The sequence below is a fragment of the Homo sapiens genome, chromosome 5, assembly GCF_000001405.40.
Source record: "Homo sapiens chromosome 5, GRCh38.p14 Primary Assembly".
Taxonomy (NCBI): domain Eukaryota; kingdom Metazoa; phylum Chordata; class Mammalia; order Primates; family Hominidae; genus Homo; species Homo sapiens.
The window spans coordinates 115,902,570-115,914,757 of record NC_000005.10 but is presented as its reverse complement, the minus strand read 5'-3'; the positions used below and the strand labels follow the sequence as shown (position 1 = coordinate 115,914,757).

At 32.4% G+C, this 12,188-nt stretch overlaps 1 protein-coding gene across 15 annotated transcripts in view; it reads right to left on the bottom strand.

Moving 5' to 3' along the window:
* Positions 1-676: 676 nt before the first annotated feature.
* The window catches only part of AP3S1 (adaptor related protein complex 3 subunit sigma 1), a 72,147-nt gene continuing 60,635 nt past the window's right edge, over positions 677-12,188 (bottom strand). For 5 of the 15 annotated variants that reach the window (NR_157087.2, NM_001002924.3, NM_001284.4 and 2 more), the window contains 2 exons: positions 11,766-11,873; positions 677-1,396 (listed from right to left, as the gene is read on the bottom strand). Coding sequence is in view for 11 of the 15 variants with exons in the window: in NM_001002924.3 (NP_001002924.2) it covers positions 1,268-1,396; positions 11,766-11,873 (237 nt within the window). In the remaining 4 variants the exon portion in view is untranslated. The other 10 variants (NR_157085.1, NR_157086.1, XM_047416696.1 and 7 more) reach the window with 8 other exon arrangements.

Here is a 12,188-nt window from a genome sequence, read left to right as displayed (position 1 = left end):
CTCTAGGACTTTTTCTTATCTCTGAGCTGATGGAAATCCCAATAATCAGATTAAATTTCCTGTTACCCTAACATGCTGGAGAGCTTAGAGACAGATTAATTTTATTTAGAAAAAAATAAAGTAACTTTTCTTATATCTTAGGGTTCTTGGAGTAAAATTCATACATGCTGCAAGTCTATGGAAGTATTTCAAAGAGAATATTTGAGGAAGGAGAACTAGAACTGTAAGGAAAACCTTAGTCTAACTGGAAAAGTAACCTCACTCACAGTTCATGGAAGACCAAATAAAATGTGGGCCAATTATAAGAAACTAGAATATGTGAGTGTTAGGACTTAAGAAAACATTAGTTTAACTTTGTTTTAGGATGAAACAGACAAGTAGAGTCCCAAGGGTTTTTGTATTCAAAATCAATTAGGTATTGGCTGAAATTATTTTTTACCATCTGGGCAAGAAGGAACAAGAGGCAAGGCTTAAAGCTATTTGTATAAAAAAGATTTTACATTTTCTCAATATACATTTTAGAAAGACTGTCGCCCCCCCACTCCAGATCTCATCTTGCGCAATATGCCTAAGATACACTGCTCTTGATTTGTGAAATAATTGAGTTTCCGAATAATTTACTGAGTTTCTGAATATTAAAAATATGAGTAAAAAATAAATCGACATTAACATCTGCTTAATAGTGATAAAATATACTTTTATTTACTTTGTTGAGTCAGAGGGTTGTAAAAAAAATTATTGCTAAAGTAGATATCAGGCAAACAGAAAGGTGCTTTAGAAGTCCAGTTACCTTGGAGTTTATTTAAACTAAGAGAAAAAAGTCATAATGTTTTCATGCAATACATACTTGGTTCTCCAAATAACAACTGTGTGACATATAGCAGAAGGAATTAAGGAATGCTGCACTTGTGATCCATACAAAACACCAACATTTTAGGTTGTACATAATTAGAGAAATATCTGAAACACTTTTTAAAACACTGTAGTAGCCAATACATAGAGGCATGCCGTAGGTGGGCACAGGAATGCAGTTTAGAAAAGAAAAAAAAAAATCACATAGGAACTACTCAATTTCTTTAAAATCACTGAGCAAGAACAGCAACATTGAACTTTCATACTGATTTTACACAACTTCTATACAGTACCTTGACTTAAATCCAAGAGCAAAAGTTAAGACTCTCCTCCTCTATTTTTGGTAAACAACTGCATGGTAAACTTAGATGACTCTTCCCCCTGGATTTTACCTGGGAGTGGCCTTTTTACATTTTTATTTAAAAGAGGGCAGGTTTGGCACTTTTATACTGATGTCACCAATGTTAATATTTCTTGGGATCTCAGGAAGATTCATATTCTTTACAGCTGATACAGCACGGGCTGGAGCTCCTGCTAAGCCAGCCTGTATACAGAAGCAAATAAAAGAAAAAGAAAATGTACAACTCAGGTGTAGCTCATCATAAAACACTTACAATGGAAGACAATGATAAAAGATTTTCATATAACAAGCTTAGGGACCAGATGGTAGTTTGAATTGGTATGGAATGGTTACTTTGAAATACTAATCTATAAAGAGAAAACAGTGACACATTAAAAAATACAGTGAACACATGCAATGATAACAATGTAAAGATTTAAATACAAATTAATGTGCACTACCACACAATATTCACATGATAAAACCTAAATCTTCACCTATATCTTGATTTAACTGACAGATAGCATGAAGCATGATTTACATTAGTTTCCTTATTAAATATCTCTTGCAACGATTGTGATAGATTTTCTTTTGCTTTTAAAATGGCATTTATTAGCAATATGTGCTGTGAAATAAAAATTGCAAGTAATAGATTGTGCTTGTTTAATTTCTTAGGGATAAACCCTTAAAACATTTTAAAACAATAAAATTAGTTTTTTAAATTGTGAGGGCTCTTTTAAACTTTTCTAATAAAGTTCTAGAACATTAAAAAAATAGGCTTTCAAGTAAAGCCTCAATCCAAAGAATATAGTTCTGCCTAAAGATGAAACTACACGAAGAGGATCATTCCAACCCTTTGATGCATTAGTAAAAATATAACGATTAAAAATGTTTTGTCATATAGCATAGATTCAGCAACATATATTCAGCTTACAGTTTACAAATTTAGAGAAAGAAAAGCATAAATGCAAGAGGTAGTAAATATAAATAAATGAATTCTAAAATTTCCAGTAAGTACCACTAGTGCATAATATTTGGCTTTCCTATTAGTAGGAACATTTGTAATTTGTGAAATAATTTTAAAAGAAAATATGCTTACAAATAAAAGAAAATGCATACATATCATTTTTCTCACCTACGTTAACAGCCTTCATATTTGAGGTTTAATTTATATACCAATTACATTTCATTACTTTTTATTCAGGCTATATAATAAAGCAAAGTCAACAAAGACATCTGAGTTCAGTGGCATCATTTTGTACAAAAATAGACAACAAAAACGAATCTTCCACTTTGATTAGATTATATATGGCAATGTCCATAAAATTAGAAACACTAGCTTTAAGGTCCCTTTTCATAATTTTAGTTTTCTTTTCTTATGTAATCCTACCTTTGTTAATTAAAATAAAAATAATAATAAAGCTGTTACCTGAGAAAAATCTTGACTGATACAAAATAGGCCAGTGTAAACTATTTGCTAAATAAAGGATACAAACATTGTTAAGCAATGAAATAAAAGCCATGGATTATCAATTCAGAATTGGAAATAATAGAAAAATTAGTAGAATAGTATTAATAATAAGTATATTCTACACAGGCAATGATAAGAGTGATACAAATGAATAACTCCATACCCAATTAAATAGTGAATAGGGCTGGAGAAGTTTTATAATTTAATGGATGTTAGTTATTTTTGATGTACAACTAAAAATGTGATTGACCTCTATACTTATACCTACCTGAAGCAATGAAGTTTTTGTTACCCCCCCTTCCTTCCTGCTCCCCCAAAGATGTTGGAGATACAACTAAATAATAATTAAGGCAGCATGTATAATATTTGAAAGGGTCTTTAATTTGATCGTTTCAAGTTAAAGGTCTAGCTACCAAAATTTAGAGTGGGTTGGGATCAAAGAAGAATCCAATTCAAAGAGGTTTACCATCTTTTGGCTTTCTTTTACCAGGAAGTATGTTGTCTACTAAGGAAGAAAAATTTACAAAATTGCAGACGTCCTGGAGGTAGTATCATTTTTTAGATAGGAGGATTTTGTAATTTTTCTAGTTAAAAGACCAATTTGCCACTATTTTTACTTAGGAATTTCCATAAAGAAGACAAATAATGAACTGACTATAGAAAAGTATTGACAAAATATTTGAGTATAAATATTTTAAAGGTGTGAATTATTAAGGGATTTTATTATTGTGAGAGAAATTGTGCGTGTGTGTGTGTGTGTTTATCTGTGTATTTTATTGGACACTATGGTTTACACTTATAAATAGTAAACATAATGTTTTCAGTATTAAATGTACATGAAGCTCTCTTTTCCATAATATCCTGTACCATGAAGAGCTAAACTAAAGCAAAAAATAAATTAAAAAAATTTAAAAATGCATCCTGTTAAATTTCATTAGATTGAGTTGTATCATTGTGACCAAAGATGGTGTCGACTGTTGGCTGCTAACAAGAATACATAAAGTCAATATAGCAATTGATTTAAATAGCATATTTGTGCTTAATATGTAAAACCAAAAGAAGTTTCTAAGTACAACAAACTACAATTCTTCTAAACATAAGCAGCAAGCCATAGACATGCAAAAGATAGGAACTATTCAGAACACGCAAATGAATTAGGAGGATCAAATTATTTCTCAAGCATGTTCAATACTTTTGTGTAGTATGCCATGAATTTAAATGGTAGGAAAATTTAAAGTTGTAATAGGTGCTTTAAGTTTTAATTAAACTAACGTTTTAAAAAGAAATCATATTATGCAAAATATAAAATGTTGAGAAAATATGATAAGGACAATTGATCAACAGATGTTTAAACCAGCTAGCAATGTTTATATATAAAAATTTAGGGCTAAAAAAAAAGACTTTATGTCACTCAGTCAACACCAGAATGGCTATAAAACAAATTTCATTTTCAGACATTCATGAAAGTGATGCCTGAAACATTTTTATTAAAACATAAAATGTAAAGTAACTTTCCATTAGGCAATCAGTTTGCTGACACAGAGGTATGAAGTAATTTTCATCTTGGTTAAGATTTTTTTTTTTTCCAGTAAGATACATTCAAAGCAACAAAATAACTTTTACTAACACTTAACTTTTCAACGCTAAAACTTACAGAAATTGTTTACCTGACTTGTTAGCAGTACAGTAGTCCCCCCTTACCCGCAATTTCACTTTCCATGGTTTCATTTACCCGTGGTTAACTGTGGTCTGAAAATAAGTGTGTGCAGTACAATATTGTGATAGAGAAAGGCCTCAATCACATAACTTTTTTTTTTTTTTTTTTTTTTAAGAGACAGGGTCTCACTCTGTCACCCACAGTGGAGTGAGTGATGCAATCATGGCTCACTGCAGCCTTGAACTCCTGGGCTCAAGTGATCTTCCCATCTGTCTCCTGAATAGTTAGAACTACAGGTGTGTCCCACCACGCCTAGCTAATGTAAAAAATATACATTTGTAGAGATGGGGTCTCACTGTGTTGCCCAGACTGGCTCAAACTCCTGGCCTCAAGTGAGTCTTCTGCCTTGGCCCCTCAAAGTGTTGGTATTATAGGCGTGAGCCAGTGCACCTGGCCTCACATGACTTTTATTGCATTATACTGTTATAACTGTTCTCTTTTATTATTAGTTGTTAATCTCTTACCGTGCCTATTTTATAAATTAAATTTTATCATATGTATATATGCATAGGAAAAAACATAGCATATATAAGGTTCAGTAGTATACACAGTTTCAGGCATCCACTGGGGGTTTTGGAATGTACCCAACACAGGTAAGGGGGGATTACTGTAAATACATTTTTAAACGTAAAAGTAAGATATTTCTGACAGTACAACATAGTTCTTAAAGATTTAAGATTATATAGTTGACACACAGCAGAAATAAAAAGAATGAAATTCTACTGGAGAAATAACTTGTTTCCATCTATGTTATACCTGAGCACCACCATGGCAGGTAAAACTGCAGCGACTACACCAATAAAAACAAATATATGAATCCAAAGCAGTTAAGAATATGAACTGGATGAAAGAATGAAGTACAGTATATAAAAGAATGATCATGTTTTCTCTCCCATGAGATTAAATAAATTAACAGAATTAAGAGAAAGAAAACAAAATGAAGTCTGCAAGTATACCAAAATGAGGCCAAACAGATAAAGACTTATACAGACATACTCTTGGAAATTTCAAGCACTTGAATCACAAAGATAGTAATGGATGGATATGATTTGTTTTTGATTTTGTTTTTAAATTGCCAGACCCAAAAATAAACAAAATATGTGCAAGCAAAACTGAAAAAGCAGCATTACTAAAATGTATTTCGAAGACCCTGAAAGCTCCCTTTTCCTCATGCAATAAACAATCAACTTTCTTGAAGGGAAAAGGAAAGTAATAGAGTAATCTTGTTATTTATTTCATCTAAGACATAAAATACCATCCTACCATCTTAAAATATCTTTTTTTTTTTCAAGTTTGAATACAGCATAATAAGATGGTAGTTGGAACAAACTGTACGTATTAAAACCTTTACCCACCCTTCCTGCTGGAAGTTGCTATATGCACATTCATAATTTTGACCTAACAGCAAAGTGAAAGAACACCAACATTAATAAACACAATATTAAATGGTTTCAGACTCAAAATCATTAACAAAATAATGGCAGATTTTGAAAGCATGTTTTTGAGCAAAAAAGAAAATGTCAATAGTTTAAAAAATCCCTCAACACGAGGTAGAATAACTTTTAATCTGGGGATATATAATAGGCTTTGTTTTAATGGCAGTGCTTTAATACTGCAATTATAAACATTTAGATAAGCTCATGACAATTCTCTAGACAGCAATAACTATGGTGTTTCACAGTTTTAACAAAATTAGAGTGCTCAAAAATTTAAAAAACCTTCCAAATTATTAGTCATTTTGTACGGATTATCTTCAATTATAGCTTTAATTTCAAACATAGGATTTGCCTGCATGAAAAAAAGAGAGCAGACTAATGACTTTCATGGATTTATCATTACTAGTTTTGACCATTACAAGTGACCTCAAGGGTTCTCACCATAATTTTGTAGAAGTACAAGACAAATGTGTATGTCAAGGTAGAGAGGCAGAACCAGCTCATGAGCTGACCTTCCACCATCAGTACCTTAGAGCCACTTTTCTTATTCTCTCCTCTTTGAAAACAGAAACTTGATTTTTTTTAAAAAAGGCCAATTAACAGTTCTAGCAATAAAGTTAACAGACCCAAGTGATTAATGGTTCTTTGCTGGAAAATAGCAGTAATAAATTACATACTGTAACACAGAAACTGGCAATAATTCTGACCAATGGTGAGAATGAGACTACTATGTATTCTCTATATGAGGGACAAAATAACATGGATAGAGGGACCAAAAACGGTACCCCAGTTTTGTGACATAGCCCACAATCTCAAAATAAGATACTATAAAGCCACCTGTATGTTGCTACTTCTTCTCAAACACATCGAGAGAGTAAGTAAAAATTTAGTGGCTAAAAGGCAATGCTTTGTGATATCACCACAATCATCAATTCTCAGTGATGTTTTTCTAATTAGTAAGTGCATAATCTAACTTCGTAAGTTTATACATTTTTTCCTCCATAGGACTCAATAAATTACTTTTATTTTGAAATTTTCAATCAGAGACCTTATAAACATTTCTTTTGCTTACATGGTTTCACACAAAATAGTTGCTCATCACCACGTACATGGAACTTTTAAAAAAGTAATTCACACAGTTAATTTATGGTGTGAAAAAACGTACAGGAAATATCAGAAGAAAAATTAGTTTTGTAAAACTAGAGGTCTATTAAAAATATTTCCAATATTTGCCAATACGCTTTGCAAAAATATTCAGGGTTTTTAATTCAATACTAAAACATTAATATATTTTTATTGATTCTGATTATGACATGTTTGGATGTCAGAAGGTTTGCTACAATGAAAACCCATTGTATTTTGGTGATTTGGTAATTTGGTAATTCCATTTTTCGAGCATTCTAGTTTGAAATACAGTCAAGTTTTATAAGATTTCTGATCTTATTTTCTGTTGGCCACTGTTAATATGCACCTGCAGGTCAAAACTGTAAAAGCAATTCTGTTAAGACTTTGGAACTGAAAACCATTTGAGGGGAAAAAGTACTATTTAACAGTCACTATTCTAAGCCTTCACTGCTTCCCATTTTGTATGCAAAACTCTGAAGGTTCAGCTTTTGGTTTTTAAATTCACAGCTTCCAAAACCCAGCAGGCAATTTTATGTTAGAATCCTAATTTAGAGATGGAAAAAAAACAAATCTGTGAGAGTTAAATTAAGATTGGTTCTGCTATATGATGCTCAAAATAAATTTTACGTTTTTATATACAAAGTAAATTGTCACTTCTGCAAATGCAATTTGTCAGTTAGATGACAAGTGTTTAAAAAAAATTTAAACTTTCCTTTTACAATGCAGGCAGACAAAACAGAACAAACATGACATCAATGATATACTAGTAAAATACACTAAGTCCAATAAAAGATGAAGAAACTACAAGGAGAAACTAGAATGGAAAATAGGCTACAGGGACTATATGGGTTTATTAACACAAAGAATTTTTGAGTCTGGCCTAAATAATTAATTGCCTTTGACATCATTTTGCTTTCCCTTTGTTATAGTACATATTTCTCAAAGTCAGCAATACCTTGTCTACCTGTCCTGTCTGGGAGACTGAAAGATAAAGGTCTGTAAGAGAGAAGAATGGAAAGAGCTAGAAAGATCAGGATGTTCGGAAAAAAAAGAGGACTGACTTTCAAAAAGTAGTGACTAAATTCAGACCCATTTATCCATCTTAAGAATAACATGAAATACATAAAAGCTAACAGATCTCCCCAACCCCACCCCTCTACCTCCACCCCCAGGGAGTCCTTTTATTCTTAGGCAGGTTCCTGAGTGCCTCTTATACTTCCCCCGAATCCCATCAACCTCCCAGCTTAAACCCTCCTCTCCCAATATTCCAATGTTATAGTAAACCATTTTTCTATCAAAATAGAATAGATGGAAATACATTCAGAGTATATCTTTGCTTCTCTCTTTCAGGATCTGGCAGAGCTTTGCTTCCACCTGTCTAGGTATTGGGAATTAAACTGGTTCACTTTTTTCCATTACCAGAAATGTACTAACTTTAGACCAACATAATAAAAGCTCTGATTTCTGACAAAGGCCCCTAGATAAATGCATGTTATGTTTAAAAAGCTGTGTCTCAATTATACCCAGACTGATTTTTAAATATAAATGATGTTCCTAAGATATTACTTAAATAATTTTTAAAAATATTGATAACCAGTTCTTTTCATCAATCATGACATTCTCGATTTTAAACAAGTCTTTTTTTGTGTGTTTGTTTTTGAGACGGAGTCTTACTCTGTCACGCAGGCTGGAGTGCAGTGGTGCAATATCAGCTCACTGCAACCTCCGCCTCCCGGAATCGGGCGATTCTTGCGCGTCAGGCTCCAGAGCAACTAGGATTACAGGCAAGTGCCACCATGCCTGGATAATTTTTTTGTATTTTTAGTAGAGACGGGATTTCACCATATTTGCCAGGCTGGTCTCAAACTCCTGACCTCAGGTGAGCAGATCACCTGAGTGATCCCAAAGTGCTGGGATTACAGGCGTGAGCCACTGCGCCCAGCCAAACAAGTCATTAAGTTTGTCCTTATATAATACATTTTAACTGAAATTTAGTAAGAAGATTAGGAAAAGTTTATACTTTGTTTCAAGTAATTTTGGATTATTCTGCAGAGTAATATCTCTGGTAAATTTAACCAATTGAAGTAACATGGACATGAAACATATGAAAGCTTTTGACATTCTAGCTGGAATAAAGCTAGAAGCCTTTCAAACATACTTAAAATATACAAAAGCTACGAAAAATTAGTCATCATAATTTTCAGTGCTGTTTTAAAAAGATGATCAGGGCTAAATGGCCTCACTTTGACTTGAAATCCGATTTCATAACTAAAATATTAGCAGACGTTACATGTATAGAAAATATATAATTTTGTAGTTTATCCCCAATCAGACTTAAAACATACTTTCTTGTAAAAGACAAAAGAAGAGAAACTAATTTGGTACCAGATAACAATTATGTATGATGCGAGATGATCAGGGAATGAATAATAGAAGTAATCACCAGTATTCTAAACTATTTTAAATAGCATTATTTCTGTGAATAGATTTTAAGTTATAGTATTCTTATAACTATTTCCATTGAAATGTAAATTACGCATTTTACTGCTCTTTATAGATAAGAAAAATTGCCTCATTAACGAAGTTTTATTCAACAATCAAAAAGCAAATACCCATTATGCAATAATTATAGGTCCTTCATAACTTTTGTCAATATAGCACATTAACCCATTTATGCCGGAGGTTGCAAACTTTTTTTTGTGAAAAATCAGACCTTGGGGATGACCTTGAGCAGTAGGATATAAATAACTCCCACAAGCTTAGCATTCCAATAATGGAACACCAGGCATAAATGTCTTAAGTAGCAGAAGAAAAAGAAGGACCACCACCAATGAAAAGGAGTTAACTACCTAGAAAGGTGAAAATTCCAGACAACTGGTCAATATTTTTTACAGATGATTATGCAGAATTCACAAATTACTAGATACTCATTCATTTATACCAGTTATTAAAGGATTGCATCACTGTTTGTCCCTTGGCATTTAAAATCTATAACCATACAGTTTTGCAAAGCAATGTTTAACAAATGACACACATTTTAAGTTCTTTTAAGACTTTAAAAGCAATAGCTCAGGGTTTATAATAATCTTTTCTTTACTAAATAATATATTGCAAGTCAGTTATACTAAATTAAATTATGAGTCTTTTTCCTTGTCCTAAAACAAAATTTTCTCTATTAACCTAATTTATGTTTTCCACTTTCAAAAGCCAATATTTTAAAAATTGGCTATAGGACAAACAAAACATATAGTTAGTTAAGATAATCTTAGCTCTAAATCACCACTATAAACTTCTCCTTTGGGAAACCAACAGGAATGGGAAATTGAGATAAAGAAAAATGCAAGACTATTTTAAATTTAAAAGAGAACACTGGAAAATGTTTTATAAGCTTCAACTGTTTCTAGATTTGAGATTTATTCTTCACCCTGTGTTTTCTTCAATTAAAATGGACACAGAATTGAATTGAGTTAAACTGATCCTTTAAAATGCCAACAAGGTAAAATTTTTCAGAACTCACCTGTTGTAAATTAATGCCAGTGTATTTTTAAAACCTTGATGCTTTCAAAGTAATATTTACTTTAAATCAACGAAACATCTGAGCTTAACACTAATAATTATAAAAATAAAGTCTGTTTTTTCCAATCTGAGTTATGACTGCAAATACCAAATGTAAGAGTATCCTCAAACAAGTTGGGTGGTGAATGAGATATCAAAATTATTGATCTTTCTTTTTTTTTTTGAGATGAAGTTTTACTCTGTTGCCCAGGAGTGCAGTGATGTGATCTCGGCTCACTGCAACCTCCACCTCCGGGGTTCAAGTGATTCTTGTGCCTCAGCCTCCCGAGTAGCTGGGATTACAGGTGCGCTCTACGTGCCCAGCTAATTTATTTATTTTTTATTTTTATTTTTTTAGTAGAGATGGGGTTTCACCATGTTGGCCAGGCTAGTCTCGAACTCCTGAACTCAAATGATAAAACTACTGATCTTTCTAAACCTCTGCTAGGGTAATAAACAACCAAAATAATGTGAACCCAGGTGGCTCAGCTACAGCACCTGCTACTGATATTCAGACTAGTGCTTGAGGGAAGAGTCACTACAATTCTGAAGTAGGGTTTTATACAATGCTAAAGTGCTGGCTGTTCCTCATTTATCCCATCTAAGGTTGAATCTAACAGCAGAAAGTTAGCTAAGTATAACAAACCGATCTTATAGAATGCAATAAAGACCATGGATATATATGTACTAATGTCTAAAATATGTGACTTAACTAACTTGTCAGTGAAATCTTAGGGAAAGATTTAGAATTAAAAGATTAAGGTATTGAATTTCTTTTTTGAATGTGAACTCAAACATTCAAAATATTTATTTTGCATTTATTAATAACTTGAAACATTACTTACTTCCCTGTAAGAATTCCATTTCCTGTCCTTTCCCTTTCCAGAAGTAGTTTTGTAACACAAAATTTATATATCTTTAAAATATTAGTTCTAAGATTTCCTTGATAATTACCGACTGAAGTTTTACAAAGCAAATATTAGATTCCATTATTCAGATAATTCTTTTAGGCAATAAGATTTGGAATTGTGCTTATTACCCAAGGCAGCTATGACTGTGGCTAAAAGAAGAATACACAAAGCTGTTGGGTAGAGAACAGTCACAGAACCTTTAGCATACTACGTGTATATTCCATTTTTTAAAAACTGAATAAGCATAACGGCTGAACCTAAAGGGTGATACTGAAGGACAAACAGTGAAAACTACAAATCATGCGTAATCTGTCATCATGCTTAGAACCTTCTTAACTACAGCATTTTCCATTCTTACCTCAGATTTTTCCAGCTTATTTTGTGCATCAATTTGTGTAACAATCTCATTCATATTTGTCTCCAATACCATTCCCCCCATCACCATTTCTGCAAGAATATTGTGAACCTAAAGGGAATAAAAGAATATATACCCATAAAGAAAATTCACTAAAAAGAAGTTTCATGATTCACTTTTTGTTTCAAATACCACTTTGTCTATGTTAAAAGTATGAGTGGTAAAAACAACTTGGAGTAAGGGCTCATAATCCACTTTCATCACTACTGTGAAGCCCTAGGCAGTTATATAACCTCCTTAAGTCTGAGCTTAATGGGCTATAAAACAAAAACAATAGTACTACCTTCATAGGACTGTTGAAAGGAATAAGCAAGGTAATCCAATGCAGTACTCAAAACAAAGTAAATGACTAGTAAATATTAACTA